This window comes from Homo sapiens, chromosome 1 (assembly GCF_000001405.40).
Source record: "Homo sapiens chromosome 1, GRCh38.p14 Primary Assembly".
In the NCBI taxonomy this organism is placed as follows: domain Eukaryota; kingdom Metazoa; phylum Chordata; class Mammalia; order Primates; family Hominidae; genus Homo; species Homo sapiens.
This window is the reverse complement of record NC_000001.11, coordinates 228620656-228644479: the sequence shown is the minus strand read 5'-3', so window position 1 is coordinate 228644479 and position 23824 is coordinate 228620656. Positions and strand designations below refer to the sequence as shown.

The 23824-nt window shown below is 68.0% G+C and overlaps 11 non-coding genes across 11 annotated transcripts, besides 5 other annotated features; all 11 read left to right on the top strand.

Moving 5' to 3' along the window:
* The first annotated feature begins 552 nt into the window (after positions 1-552).
* On the top strand, positions 553-673 carry RNA5S16 (RNA, 5S ribosomal 16). The gene has a single exon (NR_023378.1). It is a non-coding gene; the product is annotated as an RNA, 5S ribosomal 16 (ribosomal RNA).
* A 2120-nt stretch (positions 674-2793) lies between these two features.
* RNA5S15 (RNA, 5S ribosomal 15) lies at positions 2794-2914 on the top strand. Its single transcript, NR_023377.1, has one exon. It is a non-coding gene; the product is annotated as an RNA, 5S ribosomal 15 (ribosomal RNA).
* A 2110-nt stretch (positions 2915-5024) lies between these two features.
* On the top strand, positions 5025-5145 carry RNA5S14 (RNA, 5S ribosomal 14). Its single transcript, NR_023376.1, has one exon. It is a non-coding gene; the product is annotated as an RNA, 5S ribosomal 14 (ribosomal RNA).
* Positions 6829-7634: an enhancer, noted in NCBI's record as "H3K27ac-H3K4me1 hESC enhancer chr1:228772593-228773398 (GRCh37/hg19 assembly coordinates)". NCBI's record gives its function as "activates a minimal SCP1, AML or CMV promoter by ChIP-STARR-seq in naive H9 embryonic stem cells {active_cell/tissue: H9 hESC(naive)}" and the evidence as "EXISTENCE:reporter gene assay evidence [ECO:0000049][PMID:30033119]".
* On the top strand, positions 7266-7386 carry RNA5S13 (RNA, 5S ribosomal 13). The gene has a single exon (NR_023375.1). It is a non-coding gene; the product is annotated as an RNA, 5S ribosomal 13 (ribosomal RNA).
* On the top strand, positions 9491-9611 carry RNA5S12 (RNA, 5S ribosomal 12). The gene has a single exon (NR_023374.1). It is a non-coding gene; the product is annotated as an RNA, 5S ribosomal 12 (ribosomal RNA).
* A 2119-nt stretch (positions 9612-11730) lies between these two features.
* RNA5S11 (RNA, 5S ribosomal 11) lies at positions 11731-11851 on the top strand. The gene has a single exon (NR_023373.1). It is a non-coding gene; the product is annotated as an RNA, 5S ribosomal 11 (ribosomal RNA).
* A 2120-nt stretch (positions 11852-13971) lies between these two features.
* On the top strand, positions 13972-14092 carry RNA5S10 (RNA, 5S ribosomal 10). Its single transcript, NR_023372.1, has one exon. It is a non-coding gene; the product is annotated as an RNA, 5S ribosomal 10 (ribosomal RNA).
* A 2121-nt stretch (positions 14093-16213) lies between these two features.
* RNA5S9 (RNA, 5S ribosomal 9) lies at positions 16214-16334 on the top strand. The gene has a single exon (NR_023371.1). It is a non-coding gene; the product is annotated as an RNA, 5S ribosomal 9 (ribosomal RNA).
* A 2118-nt stretch (positions 16335-18452) lies between these two features.
* Positions 18453-18573, top strand: RNA5S8 (RNA, 5S ribosomal 8). Its single transcript, NR_023370.1, has one exon. It is a non-coding gene; the product is annotated as an RNA, 5S ribosomal 8 (ribosomal RNA).
* On the top strand, positions 20695-20815 carry RNA5S7 (RNA, 5S ribosomal 7). The gene has a single exon (NR_023369.1). It is a non-coding gene; the product is annotated as an RNA, 5S ribosomal 7 (ribosomal RNA).
* Positions 20763-21524: an enhancer, noted in NCBI's record as "H3K27ac-H3K4me1 hESC enhancer chr1:228758703-228759464 (GRCh37/hg19 assembly coordinates)". NCBI's record gives its function as "activates a minimal SCP1, AML or CMV promoter by ChIP-STARR-seq in primed H9 embryonic stem cells {active_cell/tissue: H9 hESC(primed)}" and the evidence as "EXISTENCE:reporter gene assay evidence [ECO:0000049][PMID:30033119]".
* Positions 21525-22287: an enhancer, noted in NCBI's record as "H3K27ac-H3K4me1 hESC enhancer chr1:228757940-228758702 (GRCh37/hg19 assembly coordinates)". NCBI's record gives its function as "activates a minimal SCP1, AML or CMV promoter by ChIP-STARR-seq in primed H9 embryonic stem cells {active_cell/tissue: H9 hESC(primed)}" and the evidence as "EXISTENCE:reporter gene assay evidence [ECO:0000049][PMID:30033119]".
* Positions 22288-23050: an enhancer, noted in NCBI's record as "H3K27ac-H3K4me1 hESC enhancer chr1:228757177-228757939 (GRCh37/hg19 assembly coordinates)". NCBI's record gives its function as "activates a minimal SCP1, AML or CMV promoter by ChIP-STARR-seq in primed H9 embryonic stem cells {active_cell/tissue: H9 hESC(primed)}" and the evidence as "EXISTENCE:reporter gene assay evidence [ECO:0000049][PMID:30033119]".
* RNA5S6 (RNA, 5S ribosomal 6) lies at positions 22915-23035 on the top strand. Its single transcript, NR_023368.1, has one exon. It is a non-coding gene; the product is annotated as an RNA, 5S ribosomal 6 (ribosomal RNA).
* Positions 23051-23813: an enhancer, noted in NCBI's record as "H3K27ac-H3K4me1 hESC enhancer chr1:228756414-228757176 (GRCh37/hg19 assembly coordinates)". NCBI's record gives its function as "activates a minimal SCP1, AML or CMV promoter by ChIP-STARR-seq in primed H9 embryonic stem cells {active_cell/tissue: H9 hESC(primed)}" and the evidence as "EXISTENCE:reporter gene assay evidence [ECO:0000049][PMID:30033119]".

Below are 23824 nucleotides of genomic sequence, written 5' to 3'. Positions count from 1 at the left end.
GTGGGGTGTGTCTGGGTTTCTCTCAGGCCCTCTCACCCGAGATCAGGCCGCCGCCTCTAGTGCCAGCCCGGGGCAAAACAGGGCCACCCCCCGACCCGCTACACCCCACGCCCTCTTGCCCCCCCGGCCGGGTCTTGGTCGGGACAAGCGACCGTGGTGGGGGCGTTGTGAGAGAAAGGCCCCGCGCGGCTGGGCCGGCTGTTCGCCTTCGGCCAGCCCTGACGGCTCTGGGTGGGTGGGGCAAGAGGGGGCCTCGCAGGAGCCCCTGTGCGGCGAGGGATCCAAAACGCTGCCTCCGCGACAGGGCGGAGGACCGGAGGGCGTCCCAGGATCGTGGGCCCTGGGCCCTGACGCCTCGGAGCACTCCCTGCTCCGAGCGGGCCCGATGTGGTGGAAGCTCGGGAGCGCGGGAGCCGGGGGAAGGCCGCGGGCCAGCGGCTCGGGGGTCCCCGATCCGAGCCCCGCGGCCCCGGGCTGGCGGTGTCGGCTGCAATCCGGCGGGCACGGCCGGGCCGGGCCGGGCTCTTGGGGCAGCCAGGCGCCTCCTTCAGCGTCTACGGCCATACCACCCTGAACGCGCCCGATCTCGTCTGATCTCGGAAGCTAAGCAGGGTCGGGCCTGGTTAGTACTTGGATGGGAGACCGCCTGGGAATACCGGGTGCTGTAGGCTTTTTCTTTGGCTTTTTGCTGTTTCTTTCCTTTTCTTCCAGACGGAGTCTCGCCCTGTCGCCCAGGCTGGAGTGCAGTGGCGCCATCTCGGCTCACTGCAAGCTCCGCCTCCCAGGTTCACGCCATTCCCCGGCCTCAGCCTCCCGAGTAGCTGGGCCTACAGGCGCCCGCCACCACGCCCGGCTACTTTGTTCTATTTTTCCTAGAGACGGGCTTTCACCCTGTTAGCCGGGATGGTCTGGAGCTCCTGACCTCGTGATCCACCCGCCTCGGCCTCCCAGAGTGCTGGGATTACAGGCGCGAGCCACCGCGCCCGCCCGGCCTGCTGTAGGCTTTTGTGGCTTCCCCGCTGCCTCCCTTCCCCCCACAGTCGCCATGCTACCCAACCTCCCCTGACTCTGCTCCCCCTTTACCGCCCACCTACACCCCCGCCGCAGCCGCAGCCGGGGTCCTCCTGCTGGGGGTCCGCCCCTACTGCACGCCGGCCGGGCAGCAGCATCCCACCGCTTCCGCCTCGCCGCCGCCCCGCCAGGAGCCCGGCTCCAGCCTGGGAGGGCAGGGGGCCGGACCCCAAAGGCGCAGCCGCTGGGTTCCCTGCCGTTCGCGGTGCCTTCCCGCTCCCGGAACGCCCAGGCGATTCAATTCACCCATCGGGCGCCGTCGTCGCACCCTTCCAAACCGGGGGAAGGGGCGGGCAGGGGCAGCGGGTGCCACAGACGCCAGCCAAGACGTCGGCTCCGGAACGCATGGGCTGCTTTACCCGGGGGAAGGACATTGCTTCGCCAGCCACCGGGAAAACAGGCCCTGTGCACCCGGGATTCCCAATGCCCCCCGCTTCGTGTCGACGACTCCAGTCCCGAGGACTCGCCAGAGACCCAGGCCTCCGGGCCCGCCCGGTGCCACGGCTCCCGCCAAACGGGCGGGCGCGCTCTGCAAATCTCGGGGCCCGCCGCAAGGCACCCAGAGCACAGGGAGGTGCCAAGAAAGGCAGGAGCCTACGAAACCCACCTCCAAAGCAAGCAATTCATCCAAGAAAACGCCCGCCTCAGCGCTCCGTTGGTCCTCTCGCACGGACCGCCTGGACCCCGTGTTCTGGGCGCAGCCCAAGCCCCCTCCACCCTATCCCGGCCTGCTCAAGAGGGCGCTGCCTAACGGAGCCGGGCGCTTCCTCTCTAAGGCTCTATCGCTCTCGCTCTCTAGCTCCCTCCGCCTCTCTCTTCTGGGTTTCCCCCTGGACCTCGCGCTACTTTTGTCGTTTTCCCTCTGTCTCTCTGTCTCTCTCTCTCTCTTTCTCTGTGCCTCTCTCTTTCTCAGCCTCTCTGTCTGTCTCCTTCCCTCTCGCCCTCCCCTGTCTCTCTCGATCGCTGTCTCTCTCCCTCCCTCGGTTTCTATCTCTCCATCCATCTCGTCCTTGCTCTCCTTCAAGCCGCGTGTGTGTGTGCGTGCGTGTGCGCGTGCGTGTGTGCGTGTGTGTCTGTGTGTCTGTGTGTGTGTGTGTGAGTCCGCGCGCGCGCGTGCGAGCGCGCCCGGGTGTGTCTGTGTGTGGGGGAGTGGATTTGCTCCTGGTGGCGGTGGGGTGTGTCTGGGCTTCTCTCAGGCCCTCTCACCCGAGATCAGGCCGCCGCCTCTAGTGCCAGCCCGGGGCAAAACAGGGCCACCCCCCGACCCGCTACACCCCACGCCCTCTTGCCCCCCCGGCCGGGTCTTGGTCGGGACAAGCGACCGTGGTGGGGGCGTTGTGAGAGAAAGGCCCCGCGCGGCTGGGCCGGCTGTTCGCCTTCGGCCAGCCCTGACGGCTCTGGGTGGGTGGGGCAAGAGGGGGCCTCGCAGGAGCCCCTGTGCGGCGAGGGATCCAAAACGCTGCCTCCGCGACAGGGCGGAGGACCGGAGGGCGTCCCAGGATCGTGGGCCCTGGGCCCTGACGCCTCGGAGCACTCCCTGCTCCGAGCGGGCCCGATGTGGTGGAAGCTCGGGAGCGCGGGAGCCGGGGGAAGGCCGCGGGCCAGCGGCTCGGGGGTCCCCGATCCGAGCCCCGCGGCCCCGGGCTGGCGGTGTCGGCTGCAATCCGGCGGGCACGGCCGGGCCGGGCCGGGCTCTTGGGGCAGCCAGGCGCCTCCTTCAGCGTCTACGGCCATACCACCCTGAACGCGCCCGATCTCGTCTGATCTCGGAAGCTAAGCAGGGTCGGGCCTGGTTAGTACTTGGATGGGAGACCGCCTGGGAATACCGGGTGCTGTAGGCTTTTTCTTTGGCTTTTTGCTGTTTCTTTCCTTTTCTTCCAGACGGAGTCTCGCCCTGTCGCCCAGGCTGGAGTGCAGTGGCGCCATCTCGGCTCACTGCAAGCTCCGCCTCCCAGGTTCACGCCATTCCCCGGCCTCAGCCTCCCGAGTAGCTGGGCCTACAGGCGCCCGCCACCACGCCCGGCTACTTTGTTCTATTTTTCCTAGAGACGGGCTTTCACCCTGTTAGCCGGGATGGTCTGGAGCTCCTGACCTCGTGATCCACCCGCCTCGGCCTCCCAGAGTGCTGGGATTACAGGCGCGAGCCACCGCGCCCGCCCGGCCTGCTGTAGGCTTTTGTGGCTTCCCCGCTGCCTCCCTTCCCCCCACAGTCGCCATGCTACCCAACCTCCCCTGACTCTGCTCCCCCTTTACCGCCCACCTACACCCCCGCCGCAGCCGCAGCCGGGGTCCTCCTGCTGGGGGTCCGCCCCTACTGCACGCCGGCCGGGCAGCAGCATCCCACCGCTTCCGCCTCGCCGCCGCCCCGCCAGGAGCCCGGCTCCAGCCTGGGAGGGCAGGGGGCCGGACCCCAAAGGCGCAGCCGCTGGGTTCCCTGCCGTTCGCGGTGCCTTCCCGCTCCCGGAACGCCCAGGCGATTCAATTCACCCATCGGGCGCCGTCGTCGCACCCTTCCAAACCGGGGGAAGGGGCGGGCAGGGGCAGCGGGTGCCACAGACGCCAGCCAAGACGTCGGCTCCGGAACGCATGGGCTGCTTTACCCGGGGGAAGGACATTGCTTCGCCAGCCACCGGGAAAACAGGCCCTGTGCACCCGGGATTCCCAATGCCCCCCGCTTCGTGTCGACGACTCCAGTCCCGAGGACTCGCCAGAGACCCAGGCCTCCGGGCCCGCCCGGTGCCACGGCTCCCGCCAAACGGGCGGGCGCGCTCTGCAAATCTCGGGGCCCGCCGCAAGGCACCCAGAGCACAGGGAGGTGCCAAGAAAGGCAGGAGCCTACGAAACCCACCTCCAAAGCAAGCAATTCATCCAAGAAAACGCCCGCCTCAGCGCTCCGTTGGTCCTCTCGCACGGACCGCCTGGCCCCCGTGTTCTGGGCGCAGCCCAAGCCCCCTCCACCCTATCCCGGCCTGCTCAAGAGGGCGCTGCCTAACGGAGCCGGGCGCTTCCTCTCTAAGGCTCTATCGCTCTCGCTCTCTAGCTCCCTCCGCCTCTCTCTTCTGGGTTTCCCCCTGGACCTCGCGCTACTTTTGTCGTTTTCCCTCTGTCTCTCTGTCTCTCTCTCTCTCTTTCTCTGTGCCTCTCTCTTTCTCAGCCTCTCTGTCTGTCTCCTTCCCTCTCGCCCTCCCCTGTCTCTCTCGATCGCTGTCTCTCTCCCTCCCTCGGTTTCTATCTCTCCATCCATCTCGTCCTTGCTCTCCTTCAAGCCGCGTGTGTGTGTGCGTGCGTGTGCGCGTGCGTGTGTGCGTGTGTGTCTGTGTGTGTGTGTGTGTCCGCGCGCGCGGGTGCGAGCGCGCCCGGGTGTGTCTGTGTGTGGGGGAGTGGATTTGCTCCTGGTGGCGGTGGGGTGTGTCTGGGTTTCTCTCAGGCCCTCTCACCCGAGATCAGGCCGCCGCCTCTAGTGCCAGCCCGGGGCAAAACAGGGCCACCCCCCGACCCGCTACACCCCACGCCCTCTTGCCCCCCCGGCCGGGTCTTGGTCGGGACAAGCGACCGTGGTGGGGGCGTTGTGAGAGAAAGGCCCCGCGCGGCTGGGCCGGCTGTTCGCCTTCGGCCAGCCCTGACGGCTCTGGGTGGGTGGGGCAAGAGGAGCCCTCGCAGGAGCCCCTGTGCGGCGAGGGATCCAAAACGCTGCCTCCGCGACAGGGCGGAGGACCGGAGGGCGTCCCAGGATCGTGGGCCCTGGGCCCTGACGCCTCGGAGCACTCCCTGCTCCGAGCGGGCCCGATGTGGTGGAAGCTCGGGAGCGCGGGAGCCGGGGGAAGGCCGCGGGCCAGCGGCTCGGGGGTCCCCGATCCGAGCCCCGCGGCCCCGGGCTGGCGGTGTCGGCTGCAATCCGGCGGGCACGGCCGGGCCGGGCTGGGCTCTTGGGGCAGCCAGGCGCCTCCTTCAGCGTCTACGGCCATACCACCCTGAACGCGCCCGATCTCGTCTGATCTCGGAAGCTAAGCAGGGTCGGGCCTGGTTAGTACTTGGATGGGAGACCGCCTGGGAATACCGGGTGCTGTAGGCTTTTTCTTTGGCTTTTTGCTGTTTCTTTCCTTTTCTTCCAGACGGAGTCTCGCCCTGTCGCCCAGGCTGGAGTGCAGTGGCGCCATCTCGGCTCACTGCAAGCTCCGCCTCCCGGGTTCACGCCATTCCCCGGCCTCAGCCTCCCGAGTAGCTGGGCCTACAGGCGCCCGCCACCACGCCCGGCTACTTTGTTCTATTTTTCCTAGAGACGGGCTTTCACCCTGTTAGCCGGGATGGTCTGGAGCTCCTGACCTCGTGATCCACCCGCCTCGGCCTCCCAGAGTGCTGGGATTACAGGCGCGAGCCACCGCGCCCGCCCGGCCTGCTGTAGGCTTTTGTGGCTTCCCGGCTGCCTCCCTTCCCCCCACAGTCGCCATGCTACCCAACCTCCCCTGACTCTGCTCCCCCTTTACCGCCCACCTACACCCCCGCCGCAGCCGCAGCCGGGGTCCTCCTGCTGGGGGTCCGCCCCTACTGCACGCCGGCCGGGCAGCAGCATCCCACCGCTTCCGCCTCGCCGCCGCCCCGCCAGGAGCCCGGCTCCAGCCTGGGAGGGCAGGGGGCCGGACCCCAAAGGCGCAGCCGCTGGGTTCCCTGCCGTTCGCGGTGCCTTCCCGCTCCCGGAACGCCCAGGCGATTCAATTCACCCATCGGGCGCCGTCGTCGCACCCTTCCAAACCGGGGGAAGGGGCGGGCAGGGGCAGCGGGTGCCACAGACGCCAGCCAAGACGTCGGCTCCGGAACGCATGGGCTGCTTTACCCGGGGGAAGGACATTGCTTCGCCAGCCACCGGGAAAACAGGCCCTGTGCACCCGGGATTCCCAATGCCCCCCGCTTCGTGTCGACGACTCCAGTCCCGAGGACTCGCCAGAGACCCAGGCCTCCGGGCCCGCCCGGTGCCACGGCTCCCGCCAAACGGGCGGGCGCGCTCTGCAAATCTCGGGGCCCGCCGCAAGGCACCCAGAGCACAGGGAGGTGCCAAGAAAGGCAGGAGCCTACGAAACCCACCTCCAAAGCAAGCAATTCATCCAAGAAAACGCCCGCCTCAGCGCTCCGTTGGTCCTCTCGCACGGACCGCCTGGCCCCCGTGTTCTGGGCGCAGCCCAAGCCCCCTCCACCCTATCCCGGCCTGCTCAAGAGGGCGCTGCCTAACGGAGCCGGGCGCTTCCTCTCTAAGGCTCTATCGCTCTCGCTCTCTAGCTCCCTCCGCCTCTCTCTTCTGGGTTTCCCCCTGGACCTCGCGCTACTTTTGTCGTTTTCCCTCTGTCTCTCTGTCTCTCTCTCTCTCTTTCTCTGTGCCTCTCTCTTTCTCAGCCTCTCTGTCTGTCTCCTTCCCTCTCGCCCTCCCCTGTCTCTCTCGATCGCTGTCTCTCTCCCTCCCTCGGTTTCTATCTCTCCATCCATCTCGTCCTTGCTCTCCTTCAAGCCGCGTGTGTGTGTGCGTGCGTGTGCGCGTGCGTGTGTGCGTGTGTGTCTGTGTGTCTGTGTGTGTGTGTGTGAGTCCGCGCGCGCGCGTGCGAGCGCGCCCGGGTGTGTCTGTGTGTGGGGGAGTGGATTTGCTCCTGGTGGCGGTGGGGTGTGTCTGGGTTTCTCTCAGGCCCTCTCAACCGAGATCAGGCCGCCGCCTCTAGTGCCAGCCCGGGGCAAAACAGGGCCACCCCCCGACCCGCTACACCCCACGCCCTCTTGCCCCCCCGGCCGGGTCTTGGTCGGGACAAGCGACCGTGGTGGGGGCGTTGTGAGAGAAAGGCCCCGCGCGGCTGGGCCGGCTGTTCGCCTTCGGCCAGCCCTGACGGCTCTGGGTGGGTGGGGCAAGAGGGGGCCTCGCAGGAGCCCCTGTGCGGCGAGGGATCCAAAACGCTGCCTCCGCGACAGGGCGGAGGACCGGAGGGCGTCCCAGGATCGTGGGCCCTGGGCCCTGACGCCTCGGAGCACTCCCTGCTCCGAGCGGGCCCGATGTGGTGGAAGCTCGGGAGCGCGGGAGCCGGGGGAAGGCCGCGGGCCAGCGGCTCGGGGGTCCCCGATCCGAGCCCCGCGGCCCCGGGCTGGCGGTGTCGGCTGCAATCCGGCGGGCACGGCCGGGCCGGGCTGGGCTCTTGGGGCAGCCAGGCGCCTCCTTCAGCGTCTACGGCCATACCACCCTGAACGCGCCCGATCTCGTCTGATCTCGGAAGCTAAGCAGGGTCGGGCCTGGTTAGTACTTGGATGGGAGACCGCCTGGGAATACCGGGTGCTGTAGGCTTTTTCTTTGGCTTTTTGCTGTTTCTTTCCTTTTCTTCCAGACGGAGTCTCGCCCTGTCGCCCAGGCTGGAGTGCAGTGGCGCCATCTCGGCTCACTGCAAGCTCCGCCTCCCGGGTTCACGCCATTCCCCGGCCTCAGCCTCCCGAGTAGCTGGGCCTACAGGCGCCCGCCACCACGCCCGGCTACTTTGTTCTATTTTTCCTAGAGACGGGCTTTCACCCTGTTAGCCGGGATGGTCTGGAGCTCCTGACCTCGTGATCCACCCGCCTCGGCCTCCCAGAGTGCTGGGATTACAGGCGCGAGCCACCGCGCCCGCCCGGCCTGCTGTAGGCTTTTGTGGCTTCCCGGCTGCCTCCCTTCCCCCCACAGTCGCCATGCTACCCAACCTCCCCTGACTCTGCTCCCCCTTTACCGCCCACCTACACCCCCGCCGCAGCCGCAGCCGGGGTCCTCCTGCTGGGGGTCCGCCCCTACTGCACGCCGGCCGGGCAGCAGCATCCCACCGCTTCCGCCTCGCCGCCGCCCCGCCAGGAGCCCGGCTCCAGCCTGGGAGGGCAGGGGGCCGGACCCCAAAGGCGCAGCCGCTGGGTTCCCTGCCGTTCGCGGTGCCTTCCCGCTCCCGGAACGCCCAGGTGATTCAATTCACCCATCGGGCGCCGTCGTCGCACCCTTCCAAACCGGGGGAAGGGGCGGGCAGGGGCAGCGGGTGCCACAGACGCCAGCCAAGACGTCGGCTCCAGAACGCATGGGCTGCTTTACCCGGGGGAAGGACATTGCTTCGCCAGCCACCGGGAAAACAGGCCCTGTGCACCCGGGATTCCCAATGCCCCCCGCTTCGTGTCGACGACTCCAGTCCCGAGGACTCGCCAGAGACCCAGGCCTCCGGGCCCGCCCGGTGCCACGGCTCCCGCCAAACGGGCGGGCGCGCTCTGCAAATCTCGGGGCCCGCCGCAAGGCACCCAGAGCACAGGGAGGTGCCAAGAAAGGCAGGAGCCTACGAAACCCACCTCCAAAGCAAGCAATTCATCCAAGAAAACGCCCGCCTCAGCGCTCCGTTGGTCCTCTCGCACGGACCGCCTGGCCCCCGTGTTCTGGCGCAGCCCAAGCCCCCTCCACCCTATCCCGGCCTGCTCAAGAGGGCGCTGCCTAACGGAGCCGGGCACTTCCTCTCTAAGGCTCTATCGCTCTCGCTCTCTAGCTCCCTCCGCCTCTCTCTTCTGGGTTTCCCCCTGGACCTCGCGCTACTTCTGTCGTTTTCCCTCTGTCTCTCTGTCTCTCTCTCTCTCTTTCTCTGTGCCTCTCTCTTTCTCAGCCTCTCTGTCTGTCTCCTTCCCTCTCGCCCTCCCCTGTCTCTCTCGATCGCTGTCTCTCTCCCTCCCTCGGTTTCTATCTCTCCATCCATCTCGTCCTTGCTCTCCTTCAAGCCGCGTGTGTGTGCGTGCGTGTGCGCGTGCGTGTGTGCGTGTGTGTCTGTGTGTGTGTGTGTCCGCGCGCGCGCGTGCGAGCGCGCCCGGGTGTGTCTGTGTGTGGGGGAGTGGATTTGCTCCTGGTGGCGGTGGGGTGTGTCTGGGTTTCTCTCAGGCCCTCTCACCCGAGATCAGGCCGCCGCCTCTAGTGCCAGCCCGGGGCAAAACAGGGCCACCCCCCGACCCGCTACACCCCACGCCCTCTTGCCCCCCGGCCGGGTCTTGGTCGGGACAAGCGACCGTGGTGGGGGCGTTGTGAGAGAAAGGCCCGGCGCGGCTGGGCCGGCTGTTCGCCTTCGGCCAGCCCTGACGGCTCTGGGTGGGTGGGGCAAGAGGGGGCCTCGCAGGAGCCCCTGTGCGGCGAGGGATCCAAAACGCTGCCTCCGCGACAGGGCGGAGGACCGGAGGGCGTCCCAGGATCGTGGGCCCTGGGCCCTGACGCCTCGGAGCACTCCCTGCTCCGAGCGGGCCCGATGTGGTGGAAGCTCGGGAGCGCGGGAGCCGGGGGAAGGCCGCGGGCCAGCGGCTCGGGGGTCCCCGATCCGAGCCCCGCGGCCCCGGGCTGGCGGTGTCGGCTGCAATCCGGCGGGCACGGCCGGGCCGGGCTGGGCTCTTGGGGCAGCCAGGCGCCTCCTTCAGCGTCTACGGCCATACCACCCTGAACGCGCCCGATCTCGTCTGATCTCGGAAGCTAAGCAGGGTCGGGCCTGGTTAGTACTTGGATGGGAGACCGCCTGGGAATACCGGGTGCTGTAGGCTTTTTCTTTGGCTTTTTGCTGTTTCTTTCCTTTTCTTCCAGACGGAGTCTCGCCCTGTCGCCCAGGCTGGAGTGCAGTGGCGCCATCTCGGCTCACTGCAAGCTCCGCCTCCCGGGTTCACGCCATTCCCCGGCCTCAGCCTCCCGAGTAGCTGGGCCTACAGGCGCCCGCCACCACGCCCGGCTACTTTGTTCTATTTTTCCTAGAGACGGGCTTTCACCCTGTTAGCCGGGATGGTCTGGAGCTCCTGACCTCGTGATCCACCCGCCTCGGCCTCCCAGAGTGCTGGGATTACAGGCGCGAGCCACCGCGCCCGCCCGGCCTGCTGTAGGCTTTTGTGGCTTCCCCGCTGCCTCCCTTCCCCCCACAGTCGCCATGCTACCCAACCTCCCCTGACTCTGCTCCCCCTTTACCGCCCACCTACACCCCCGCCGCAGCCGCAGCCGGGGTCCTCCTGCTGGGGGTCCGCCCCTACTGCACGCCGGCCGGGCAGCAGCATCCCACCGCTTCCGCCTCGCCGCCGCCCCGCCAGGAGCCCGGCTCCAGCCTGGGAGGGCAGGGGGCCGGACCCCAAAGGCGCAGCCGCTGGGTTCCCTGCCGTTCGCGGTGCCTTCCCGCTCCCGGAACGCCCAGGCGATTCAATTCACCCATCGGGCGCCGTCGTCGCACCCTTCCAAACCGGGGGAAGGGGCGGGCAGGGGCAGCGGGTGCCACAGACGCCAGCCAAGACGTCGGCTCCGGAACGCATGGGCTGCTTTACCCGGGGGAAGGACATTGCTTCGCCAGCCACCGGGAAAACAGGCCCTGTGCACCCGGGATTCCCAATGCCCCCCGCTTCGTGTCGACGACTCCAGTCCCGAGGACTCGCCAGAGACCCAGGCCTCCGGGCCCGCCCGGTGCCACGGCTCCCGCCAAACGGGCGGGCGCGCTCTGCAAATCTCGGGGCCCGCCGCAAGGCACCCAGAGCACAGGGAGGTGCCAAGAAAGGCAGGAGCCTACGAAACCCACCTCCAAAGCAAGCAATTCATCCAAGAAAACGCCCGCCTCAGCGCTCCGTTGGTCCTCTCGCACGGACCGCCTGGCCCCCGTGTTCTGGCGCAGCCCAAGCCCCCTCCACCCTATCCCGGCCTGCTCAAGAGGGCGCTGCCTAACGGAGCCGGGCACTTCCTCTCTAAGGCTCTATCGCTCTCGCTCTCTAGCTCCCTCCGCCTCTCTCTTCTGGGTTTCCCCCTGGACCTCGCGCTACTTCTGTCGTTTTCCCTCTGTCTCTCTGTCTCTCTCTCTCTCTTTCTCTGTGCCTCTCTCTTTCTCAGCCTCTCTGTCTGTCTCCTTCCCTCTCGCCCTCCCCTGTCTCTCTCGATCGCTGTCTCTCTCCCTCCCTCGGTTTCTATCTCTCCATCCATCTCGTCCTTGCTCTCCTTCAAGCCGCGTGTGTGTGTGCGTGCGTGTGCGCGTGCGTGTGTGCGTGTGTGTCTGTGTGTCTGTGTGTGTGTGTGTGAGTCCGCGCGCGCGCGTGCGAGCGCGCCCGGGTGTGTCTGTGTGTGGGGGAGTGGATTTGCTCCTGGTGGCGGTGGGGTGTGTCTGGGTTTCTCTCAGGCCCTCTCACCCGAGATCAGGCCGCCGCCTCTAGTGCCAGCCCGGGGCAAAACAGGGCCACCCCCCGACCCGCTACACCCCACGCCCTCTTGCCCCCCCGGCCGGGTCTTGGTCGGGACAAGCGACCGTGGTGGGGGCGTTGTGAGAGAAAGGCCCCGCGCGGCTGGGCCGGCTGTTCGCCTTCGGCCAGCCCTGACGGCTCTGGGTGGGTGGGGCAAGAGGAGGCCTCGCAGGAGCCCCTGTGCGGCGAGGGATCCAAAACGCTGCCTCCGCGACAGGGCGGAGGACCGGAGGGCGTCCCAGGATCGTGGGCCCTGGGCCCTGACGCCTCGGAGCACTCCCTGCTCCGAGCGGGCCCGATGTGGTGGAAGCTCGGGAGCGCGGGAGCCGGGGGAAGGCCGCGGGCCAGCGGCTCGGGGGTCCCCGATCCGAGCCCCGCGGCCCCGGGCTGGCGGTGTCGGCTGCAATCCGGCGGGCACGGCCGGGCCGGGCTGGGCTCTTGGGGCAGCCAGGCGCCTCCTTCAGCGTCTACGGCCATACCACCCTGAACGCGCCCGATCTCGTCTGATCTCGGAAGCTAAGCAGGGTCGGGCCTGGTTAGTACTTGGATGGGAGACCGCCTGGGAATACCGGGTGCTGTAGGCTTTTTCTTTGGCTTTTTGCTGTTTCTTTCCTTTTCTTCCAGACGGAGTCTCGCCCTGTCGCCCAGGCTGGAGTGCAGTGGCGCCATCTCGGCTCACTGCAAGCTCCGCCTCCCGGGTTCACGCCATTCCCCGGCCTCAGCCTCCCGAGTAGCTGGGCCTACAGGCGCCCGCCACCACGCCCGGCTACTTTGTTCTATTTTTCCTAGAGACGGGCTTTCACCCTGTTAGCCGGGATGGTCTGGAGCTCCTGACCTCGTGATCCACCCGCCTCGGCCTCCCAGAGTGCTGGGATTACAGGCGCGAGCCACCGCGCCCGCCCGGCCTGCTGTAGGCTTTTGTGGCTTCCCCGCTGCCTCCCTTCCCCCCACAGTCGCCATGCTACCCAACCTCCCCTGACTCTGCTCCCCCTTTACCGCCCACCTACACCCCCGCCGCAGCCGCAGCCGGGGTCCTCCTGCTGGGGGTCCGCCCCTACTGCACGCCGGCCCGGCAGCAGCATCCCACCGCTTCCGCCTCGCCGCCGCCCCGCCAGGAGCCCGGCTCCAGCCTGGGAGGGCAGGGGGCCGGACCCCAAAGGCGCAGCCGCTGGGTTCCCTGCCGTTCGCGGTGCCTTCCCGCTCCCGGAACGCCCAGGCGATTCAATTCACCCATCGGGCGCCGTCGTCGCACCCTTCCAAACCGGGGGAAGGGGCGGGCAGGGGCAGCGGGTGCCACAGACGCCAGCCAAGACGTCGGCTCCGGAACGCATGGGCTGCTTTACCCGGGGGAAGGACATTGCTTCGCCAGCCACCGGGAAAACAGGCCCTGTGCACCCGGGATTCCCAATGCCCCCCGCTTCGTGTCGACGACTCCAGTCCCGAGGACTCGCCAGAGACCCAGGCCTCCGGGCCCGCCCGGTGCCACGGCTCCCGCCAAACGGGCGGGCGCGCTCTGCAAATCTCGGGGCCCGCCGCAAGGCACCCAGAGCACAGGGAGGTGCCAAGAAAGGCAGGAGCCTACGAAACCCACCTCCAAAGCAAGCAATTCATCCAAGAAAACGCCCGCCTCAGCGCTCCGTTGGTCCTCTCGCACGGACCGCCTGGCCCCCGTGTTCTGGGCGCAGCCCAAGCCCCCTCCACCCTATCCCGGCCTGCTCAAGAGGGCGCTGCCTAACGGAGCCGGGCGCTTCCTCTCTAAGGCTCTATCGCTCTCGCTCTCTAGCTCCCTCCGCCTCTCTCTTCTGGGTTTCCCCCTGGACCTCGCGCTACTTTTGTCGTTTTCCCTCTGTCTCTCTGTCTCTCTCTCTCTCTTTCTCTGTGCCTCTCTCTTTCTCAGCCTCTCTGTCTGTCTCCTTCCCTCTCGCCCTCCCCTGTCTCTCTCGATCGCTGTCTCTCTCCCTCCCTCGGTTTCTATCTCTCCATCCATCTCGTCCTTGCTCTCCTTCAAGCCGCGTGTGTGTGTGCGTGCGTGTGCGCGTGCGTGTGTGCGTGTGTGTCTGTGTGTCTGTGTGTGTGTGTGTGAGTCCGCGCGCGCGCGTGCGAGCGCGCCCGGGTGTGTCTGTGTGTGGGGGAGTGGATTTGCTCCTGGTGGCGGTGGGGTGTGTCTGGGTTTCTCTCAGGCCCTCTCACCCGAGATCAGGCCGCCGCCTCTAGTGCCAGCCCGGGGCAAAACAGGGCCACCCCCCGACCCGCTACACCCCACGCCCTCTTGCCCCCCCGGCCGGGTCTTGGTCGGGACAAGCGACCGTGGTGGGGGCGTTGTGAGAGAAAGGCCCCGCGCGGCTGGGCCGGCTGTTCGCCTTCGGCCAGCCCTGACGGCTCTGGGTGGGTGGGGCAAGAGGGGGCCTCGCAGGAGCCCCTGTGCGGCGAGGGATCCAAAACGCTGCCTCCGCGACAGGGCGGAGGACCGGAGGGCGTCCCAGGATCGTGGGCCCTGGGCCCTGACGCCTCGGAGCACTCCCTGCTCCGAGCGGGCCCGATGTGGTGGAAGCTCGGGAGCGCGGGAGCCGGGGGAAGGCCGCGGGCCAGCGGCTCGGGGGTCCCCGATCCGAGCCCCGCGGCCCCGGGCTGGCGGTGTCGGCTGCAATCCGGCGGGCACGGCCGGGCCGGGCTGGGCTCTTGGGGCAGCCAGGCGCCTCCTTCAGCGTCTACGGCCATACCACCCTGAACGCGCCCGATCTCGTCTGATCTCGGAAGCTAAGCAGGGTCGGGCCTGGTTAGTACTTGGATGGGAGACCGCCTGGGAATACCGGGTGCTGTAGGCTTTTTCTTTGGCTTTTTGCTGTTTCTTTCCTTTTCTTCCAGACGGAGTCTCGCCCTGTCGCCCAGGCTGGAGTGCAGTGGCGCCATCTCGGCTCACTGCAAGCTCCGCCTCCCGGGTTCACGCCATTCCCCGGCCTCAGCCTCCCGAGTAGCTGGGCCTACAGGCGCCCGCCACCACGCCCGGCTACTTTGTTCTATTTTTCCTAGAGACGGGCTTTCACCCTGTTAGCCGGGATGGTCTGGAGCTCCTGACCTCGTGATCCACCCGCCTCGGCCTCCCAGAGTGCTGGGATTACAGGCGCGAGCCACCGCGCCCGCCCGGCCTGCTGTAGGCTTTTGTGGCTTCCCCGCTGCCTCCCTTCCCCCCACAGTCGCCATGCTTCCCAACCTCCCCTGACTCTGCTCCCCCTTTACCGCCCACCTACACCCCCGCCGCAGCCGCAGCCGGGGTCCTCCTGCTGGGGGTCCGCCCCTACTGCACGCCGGCCCGGCAGCAGCATCCCACCGCTTCCGCCTCGCCGCCGCCCCGCCAGGAGCCCGGCTCCAGCCTGGGAGGGCAGGGGGCCGGACCCCAAAGGCGCAGCCGCTGGGTTCCCTGCCGTTCGCGGTGCCTTCCCGCTCCCGGAACGCCCAGGCGATTCAATTCACCCATCGGGCGCCGTCGTCGCACCCTTCCAAACCGGGGGAAGGGGCGGGCAGGGGCAGCGGGTGCCACAGACGCCAGCCAAGACGTCGGCTCCGGAACGCATGGGCTGCTTTACCCGGGGGAAGGACATTGCTTCGCCAGCCACCGGGAAAACAGGCCCTGTGCACCCGGGATTCCCAATGCCCTCCCGCTGCGTGTCGACGACTCCAGTCCCGAGGACTCGCCAGAGACCCAGGCCTCCGGGCCCGCCCGGTGCCACGGCTCCCGCCAAACGGGCGGGCGCGCTCTGCAAATCTCGGGGCCCGCCGCAAGGCACCCAGAGCACAGGGAGGTGCCAAGAAAGGCAGGAGCCTACGAAACCCACCTCCAAAGCAAGCAATTCATCCAAGAAAACGCCCGCCTCAGCGCTCCGTTGGTCCTCTCGCACGGACCGCCTGGACCCCGTGTTCTGGGCGCAGCCCAAGCCCCCTCCACCCTATCCCGGCCTGCTCAAGAGGGCGCTGCCTAACGGAGCCGGGCGCTTCCTCTCTAAGGCTCTATCGCTCTCGCTCTCTAGCTCCCTCCGCCTCTCTCTTCTGGGTTTCCCCCTGGACCTCGCGCTACTTTTGTCGTTTTCCCTCTGTCTCTCTGTCTCTCTCTCTCTCTTTCTCTGTGCCTCTCTCTTTCTCAGCCTCTCTGTCTGTCTCCTTCCCTCTCGCCCTCCCCTGTCTCTCTCGATCGCTGTCTCTCTCCCTCCCTCGGTTTCTATCTCTCCATCCATCTCGTCCTTGCTCTCCTTCAAGCCGCGTGTGTGTGTGCGTGCGTGTGCGCGTGCGTGTGTGCGTGTGTGTCTGTGTGTCTGTGTGTGTGTGTGTGAGTCCGCGCGCGCGCGTGCGAGCGCGCCCGGGTGTGTCTGTGTGTGGGGGAGTGGATTTGCTCCTGGTGGCGGTGGGGTGTGTCTGGGTTTCTCTCAGGCCCTCTCACCCGAGATCAGGCCGCCGCCTCTAGTGCCAGCCCGGGGCAAAACAGGGCCACCCCCCGACCCGCTACACCCCACGCCCTCTTGCCCCCCCGGCCGGGTCTTGGTCGGGACAAGCGACCGTGGTGGGGGCGTTGTGAGAGAAAGGCCCCGCGCGGCTGGGCCGGCTGTTCGCCTTCGGCCAGCCCTGACGGCTCTGGGTGGGTGGGGCAAGAGGGGGCCTCGCAGGAGCCCCTGTGCGGCGAGGGATCCAAAACGCTGCCTCCGCGACAGGGCGGAGGACCGGAGGGCGTCCCAGGATCGTGGGCCCTGGGCCCTGACGCCTCGGAGCACTCCCTGCTCCGAGCGGGCCCGATGTGGTGGAAGCTCGGGAGCGCGGGAGCCGGGGGAAGGCCGCGGGCCAGCGGCTCGGGGGTCCCCGATCCGAGCCCCGCGGCCCCGGGCTGGCGGTGTCGGCTGCAATCCGGCGGGCACGGCCGGGCCGGGCTGGGCTCTTGGGGCAGCCAGGCGCCTCCTTCAGCGTCTACGGCCATACCACCCTGAACGCGCCCGATCTCGTCTGATCTCGGAAGCTAAGCAGGGTCGGGCCTGGTTAGTACTTGGACGGGAGACCGCCTGGGAATACCGGGTGCTGTAGGCTTTTTCTTTGGCTTTTTGCTGTTTCTTTCCTTTTCTTCCAGACGGAGTCTCGCCCTGTCGCCCAGGCTGGAGTGCAGTGGCGCCATCTCGGCTCACTGCAAGCTCCGCCTCCCGGGTTCACGCCATTCCCCGGCCTCAGCCTCCCGAGTAGCTGGGCCTACAGGCGCCCGCCACCACGCCCGGCTACTTTGTTCTATTTTTCCTAGAGACGGGCTTTCACCCTGTTAGCCGGGATGGTCTGGAGCTCCTGACCTCGTGATCCACCCGCCTCGGCCTCCCAGAGTGCTGGGATTACAGGCGCGAGCCACCGCGCCCGCCCGGCCTGCTGTAGGCTTTTGTGGCTTCCCGGCTGCCTCCCTTCCCCCCACAGTCGCCATGCTACCCAACCTCCCCTGACTCTGCTCCCCCTTTACCGCCCACCTACACCCCCGCCGCAGCCGCAGCCGGGGTCCTCCTGCTGGGGGTCCGCCCCTACTGCACGCCGGCCCGGCAGCAGCATCCCACCGCTTCCGCCTCGCCGCCGCCCCGCCAGGAGCCCGGCTCCAGCCTGGGAGGGCAGGGGGCCGGACCCCAAAGGCGCAGCCGCTGGGTTCCCTGCCGTTCGCGGTGCCTTCCCGCTCCCGGAACGCCCAGGCGATTCAATTCACCCATCGGGCGCCGTCGTCGCACCCTTCCAAACCGGGGGAAGGGGCGGGCAGGGGCAGCGGGTGCCACAGACGCCAGCCAAGACGTCGGCTCCGGAACGCATGGGCTGCTTTACCCGGGGGAAGGACATTGCTTCGCCAGCCACCGGGAAAACAGGCCCTGTGCACCCGGGATTCCCAATGCCCCCCGCTTCGTGTCGACGACTCCAGTCCCGAGGACTCGCCAGAGACCCAGGCCTCCGGGCCCGCCCGGTGCCACGGCTCCCGCCAAACGGGCGGGCGCGCTCTGCAAATCTCGGGGCCCGCCGCAAGGCACCCAGAGCACAGGGAGCTGCCAAGAAAGGCAGGAGCCTACGAAACCCACCTCCAAAGCAAGCAATTCATCCAAGAAAACGCCCGCCTCAGCGCTCCGTTGGTCCTCTCGCACGGACCGCCTGGCCCCCGTGTTCTGGGCGCAGCCCAAGCCCCCTCCACCCTATCCCGACCTGCTCAAGACGGCGCTGCCTAACGGAGCCGGGCACTTCCTCTCTAAGGCTCTATCGCTCTCGCTCTCTAGCTCCCTCCGCCTCTCTCTTCTGGGTTTCCCCCTGGACCTCGCGCTACTTTTGTCGTTTTCCCTCTGTCTCTCTGTCTCTCTCTCTCTCTTTCTCTGTGCCTCTCTCTTTCTCAGCCTCTCTGTCTGTCTCCTTCCCTCTCGCCCTCCCCTGTCTCTCTCGATCGCTGTCTCTCTCCCTCCCTCGGTTTCTATCTCTCCATCCATCTCGTCCTTGCTCTCCTTCAAGCCGCGTGTGTGTGTGCGTGCGTGTGCGCGTGCGTGTGTGCGTGTGTCTGTGTGTCTGTGTGTGTGTGTGTGAGTCCGCGCGCGCGCGTGCGAGCGCGCCCGGGTGTGTCTGTGTGTGGGGGAGTGGATTTGCTCCTGGTGGCGGTGGGGTGTGTCTGGGTTTCTCTCAGGCCCTCTCACCCGAGATCAGGCCGCCGCCTCTAGTGCCAGCCCGGGGCAAAACAGGGCCACCCCCCGACCCGCTACACCCCACGCCCTCTTGCCCCCCCGGCCGGGTCTTGGTCGGGACAAGCGACCGTGGTGGGGGCGTTGTGAGAGAAAGGCCCCGCGCGGCTGGGCCGGCTGTTCGCCTTCGGCCAGCCCTGACGGCTCTGGGTGGGTGGGGCAAGAGGGGGCCTCGCAGGAGCCCCTGTGCGGCGAGGGATCCAAAACGCTGCCTCCGCGACAGGGCGGAGGACCGGAGGGCGTCCCAGGATCGTGGGCCCTGGGCCCTGACGCCTCGGAGCACTCCCTGCTCCGAGCGGGCCCGATGTGGTGGAAGCTCGGGAGCGCGGGAGCCGGGGGAAGGCCGCGGGCCAGCGGCTCGGGGGTCCCCGATCCGAGCCCCGCGGCCCCGGGCTGGCGGTGTCGGCTGCAATCCGGCGGGCACGGCCGGGCCGGGCTGGGCTCTTGGGGCAGCCAGGCGCCTCCTTCAGCGTCTACGGCCATACCACCCTGAACGCGCCCGATCTCGTCTGATCTCGGAAGCTAAGCAGGGTCGGGCCTGGTTAGTACTTGGATGGGAGACCGCCTGGGAATACCGGGTGCTGTAGGCTTTTTCTTTGGCTTTTTGCTGTTTCTTTCCTTTTCTTCCAGACGGAGTCTCGCCCTGTCGCCCAGGCTGGAGTGCAGTGGCGCCATCTCGGCTCACTGCAAGCTCCGCCTCCCGGGTTCACGCCATTCCCCGGCCTCAGCCTCCCGAGTAGCTGGGCCTACAGGCGCCCGCCACCACGCCCGGCTACTTTGTTCTATTTTTCCTAGAGACGGGCTTTCACCCTGTTAGCCGGGATGGTCTGGAGCTCCTGACCTCGTGATCCACCCGCCTCGGCCTCCCAGAGTGCTGGGATTACAGGCGCGAGCCACCGCGCCCGCCCGGCCTGCTGTAGGCTTTTGTGGCTTCCCCGCTGCCTCCCTTCCCCCCACAGTCGCCATGCTTCCCAACCTCCCCTGACTCTGCTCCCCCTTTACCGCCCACCTACACCCCCGCCGCAGCCGCAGCCGGGGTCCTCCTGCTGGGGGTCCGCCCCTACTGCACGCCGGCCCGGCAGCAGCATCCCACCGCTTCCGCCTCGCCGCCGCCCCGCCAGGAGCCCGGCTCCAGCCTGGGAGGGCAGGGGGCCGGACCCCAAAGGCGCAGCCGCTGGGTTCCCTGCCGTTCGCGGTGCCTTCCCGCTCCCGGAACGCCCAGGCGATTCAATTCACCCATCGGGCGCCGTCGTCGCACCCTTCCAAACCGGGGGAAGGGGCGGGCAGGGGCAGCGGGTGCCACAGACGCCAGCCAAGACGTCGGCTCCGGAACGCATGGGCTGCTTTACCCGGGGGAAGGACATTGCTTCGCCAGCCACCGGGAAAACAGGCCCTGTGCACCCGGGATTCCCAATGCCCTCCCGCTGCGTGTCGACGACTCCAGTCCCGAGGACTCGCCAGAGACCCAGGCCTCCGGGCCCGCCCGGTGCCACGGCTCCCGCCAAACGGGCGGGCGCGCTCTGCAAATCTCGGGGCCCGCCGCAAGGCACCCAGAGCACAGGGAGGTGCCAAGAAAGGCAGGAGCCTACGAAACCCACCTCCAAAGCAAGCAATTCATCCAAGAAAACGCCCGCCTCAGCGCTCCGTTGGTCCTCTCGCACGGACCGCCTGGACCCCGTGTTCTGGGCGCAGCCCAAGCCCCCTCCACCCTATCCCGGCCTGCTCAAGAGGGCGCTGCCTAACGGAGCCGGGCGCTTCCTCTCTAAGGCTCTATCGCTCTCGCTCTCTAGCTCCCTCCGCCTCTCTCTTCTGGGTTTCCCCCTGGACCTCGCGCTACTTTTGTCGTTTTCCCTCTGTCTCTCTGTCTCTCTCTCTCTCTTTCTCTGTGCCTCTCTCTTTCTCAGCCTCTCTGTCTGTCTCCTTCCCTCTCGCCCTCCCCTGTCTCTCTCGATCGCTGTCTCTCTCCCTCCCTCGGTTTCTATCTCTCCATCCATCTCGTCCTTGCTCTCCTTCAAGCCGCGTGTGTGTGTGCGTGCGTGTGCGCGTGCGTGTGTGCGTGTGTGTCTGTGTGTCTGTGTGTGTGTGTGTGAGTCCGCGCGCGCGCGTGCGAGCGCGCCCGGGTGTGTCTGTGTGTGGGGGAGTGGATTTGCTCCTGGTGGCGGTGGGGTGTGTCTGGGTTTCTCTCAGGCCCTCTCACCCGAGATCAGGCCGCCGCCTCTAGTGCCAGCCCGGGGCAAAACAGGGCCACCCCCCGACCCGCTACACCCCACGCCCTCTTGCCCCCCCGGCCGGGTCTTGGTCGGGACAAGCGACCGTGGTGGGGGCGTTGTGAGAGAAAGGCCCCGCGCGGCTGGGCCGGCTGTTCGCCTTCGGCCAGCCCTGACGGCTCTGGGTGGGTGGGGCAAGAGGGGGCCTCGCAGGAGCCCCTGTGCGGCGAGGGATCCAAAACGCTGCCTCCGCGACAGGGCGGAGGACCGGAGGGCGTCCCAGGATCGTGGGCCCTGGGCCCTGACGCCTCGGAGCACTCCCTGCTCCGAGCGGGCCCGATGTGGTGGAAGCTCGGGAGCGCGGGAGCTGGGGGAAGGCCGCGGGCCAGCGGCTCGGGGGTCCCCGATCCGAGCCCCGCGGCCCCGGGCTGGCGGTGTCGGCTGCAATCCGGCGGGCACGGCCGGGCCGGGCTGGGCTCTTGGGGCAGCCAGGCGCCTCCTTCAGCGTCTACGGCCATACCACCCTGAACGCGCCCGATCTCGTCTGATCTCGGAAGCTAAGCAGGGTCGGGCCTGGTTAGTACTTGGATGGGAGACCGCCTGGGAATACCGGGTGCTGTAGGCTTTTTCTTTGGCTTTTTGCTGTTTCTTTCCTTTTCTTCCAGACGGAGTCTCGCCCTGTCGCCCAGGCTGGAGTGCAGTGGCGCCATCTCGGCTCACTGCAAGCTCCGCCTCCCGGGTTCACGCCATTCCCCGGCCTCAGCCTCCCGAGTAGCTGGGCCTACAGGCGCCCGCCACCACGCCCGGCTACTTTGTTCTATTTTTCCTAGAGACGGGCTTTCACCCTGTTAGCCGGGATGGTCTGGAGCTCCTGACCTCGTGATCCACCCGCCTCGGCCTCCCAGAGTGCTGGGATTACAGGCGCGAGCCACCGCGCCCGCCCGGCCTGCTGTAGGCTTTTGTGGCTTCCCCGCTGCCTCCCTTCCCCCCACAGTCGCCATGCTACCCAACCTCCCCTGACTCTGCTCCCCCTTTACCGCCCACCTACACCCCCGCCGCAGCCGCAGCCGGGGTCCTCCTGCTGGGGGTCCGCCCCTACTGCACGCCGGCCGGGCAGCAGCATCCCACCGCTTCCGCCTCGCCGCCGCCCCGCCAGGAGCCCGGCTCCAGCCTGGGAGGGCAGGGGGCCGGACCCCAAAGGCGCAGCCGCTGGGTTCCCTGCCGTTCGCGGTGCCTTCCCGCTCCCGGAACGCCCAGGCGATTCAATTCACCCATCGGGCGCCGTCGTCGCACCCTTCCAAACCGGGGGAAGGGGCGGGCAGGGGCAGCGGGTGCCACAGACGCCAGCCAAGACGTCGGCTCCGGAACGCATGGGCTGCTTTACCCGGGGGAAGGACATTGCTTCGCCAGCCACCGGGAAAACAGGCCCTGTGCACCCGGGATTCCCAATGCCCTCCCGCTGCGTGTCGACGACTCCAGTCCCGAGGACTCGCCAGAGACCCAGGCCTCCGGGCCCGCCCGGTGCCACGGCTCCCGCCAAACGGGCGGGCGCGCTCTGCAAATCTCGGGGCCCGCCGCAAGGCACCCAGAGCACAGGGAGGTGCCAAGAAAGGCAGGAGCCTACGAAACCCACCTCCAAAGCAAGCAATTCATCCAAGAAAACGCCCGCCTCAGCGCTCCGTTGGTCCTCTCGCACGGACCGCCTGGCCCCCGTGTTCTGGGCGCAGCCCAAGCCCCCTCCACCCTATCCCGGCCTGCTCAAGAGGGCGCTGCCTAACGGAGCCGGGCGCTTCCTCTCTAAGGCTCTATCGCTCTCGCTCTCTAGCTCCCTCCGCCTCTCTCTTCTGGGTTTCCCCCTGGACCTCGCGCTACTTCTGTCGTTTTCCCTCTGTCTCTCTGTCTCTCTCTCTCTCTTTCTCTGTGCCTCTCTCTTTCTCAGCCTCTCTGTCTGTCTCCTTCCCTCTCGCCCTCCCCTGTCTCTCTCGATCGCTGTCTCTCTCCCTCCCTCGGTTTCTATCTCTCCATCCATCTCGTCCTTGCTCTCCTTCAAGCCGCGTGTGTGTGTGCGTGCGTGTGCGCGTGCGTGTGTGTGTGTGTGTGTGAGTCCGCGCGCGCGCGTGCGAGCGCGCCCGGGTGTGTCTGTGTGTGGGGGAGTGGATTTGCTCCTGGTGGCGGTGGGGTGTGTCTGGGTTTCTCTCAGGCCCTCTCACCCGAGATCAGGCCGCCGCCTCTAGTGCCAGCCCGGGGCAAAACAGGGCCACCCCCCGACCCGCTACACCCCACGCCCTCTTGCCCCCCCGGCCGGGTCTTGGTCGGGACAAGCGACCGTGGTGGGGGCGTTGTGAGAGAAAGGCCCCGCGCGGCTGGGCCGGCTGTTCGCCTTCGGCCAGCCCTGACGGCTCTGGGTGGGTGGGGCAAGAGGGGGCCTCGCAGGAGCCCCTGTGCGGCGAGGGATCCAAAACGCTGCCTCCGCGACAGGGCGGAGGACCGGAGGGCGTCCCAGGATCGTGGGCCCTGGGCCCTGACGCCTCGGAGCACTCCCTGCTCCGAGCGGGCCCGATGTGGTGGAAGCTCGGGAGCGCGGGAGCTGGGGGAAGGCCGCGGGCCAGCGGCTCGGGGGTCCCCGATCCGAGCCCCGCGGCCCCGGGCTGGCGGTGTCGGCTGCAATCCGGCGGGCACGGCCGGGCCGGGCTGGGCTCTTGGGGCAGCCAGGCGCCTCCTTCAGCGTCTACGGCCATACCACCCTGAACGCGCCCGATCTCGTCTGATCTCGGAAGCTAAGCAGGGTCGGGCCTGGTTAGTACTTGGATGGGAGACCGCCTGGGAATACCGGGTGCTGTAGGCTTTTTCTTTGGCTTTTTGCTGTTTCTTTCCTTTTCTTCCAGACGGAGTCTCGCCCTGTCGCCCAGGCTGGAGTGCAGTGGCGCCATCTCGGCTCACTGCAAGCTCCGCCTCCCGGGTTCACGCCATTCCCCGGCCTCAGCCTCCCGAGTAGCTGGGCCTACAGGCGCCCGCCACCACGCCCGGCTACTTTGTTCTATTTTTCCTAGAGACGGGCTTTCACCCTGTTAGCCGGGATGGTCTGGAGCTCCTGACCTCGTGATCCACCCGCCTCGGCCTCCCAGAGTGCTGGGATTACAGGCGCGAGCCACCGCGCCCGCCCGGCCTGCTGTAGGCTTTTGTGGCTTCCCGGCTGCCTCCCTTCCCCCCACAGTCGCCATGCTTCCCAACCTCCCCTGACTCTGCTCCGCCTTTACCGCCCACCTACACCCCCGCCGCAGCCGCAGCCGGGGTCCTCCTGCTGGGGGTCCGCCCCTACTGCACGCCGGCCCGGCAGCAGCATCCCACCGCTCCGCCAGGAGCCCGGCTCCAGCCTGGGAGGGCAGGGGGCCGGACCCCAAAGGCGCAGCCGCTGGGTTCCCTGCCGTTCGCGGTGCCTTCCCGCTCCCGGAACGCCCAGGTGATTCAATTCACCCATCGGGCGCCGTCGTCGCACCCTTCCAAACCGGGGGAAGGGGCGGGCAGGGGCAGCGGGTGCCACAGACGCCAGCCAAGACGTCGGCTCCAGAACGCATGGGCTGCTTTACCCGGGGGAAGGACATTGCTTCGCCAGCCACCGGGAAAACAGGCCCTGTG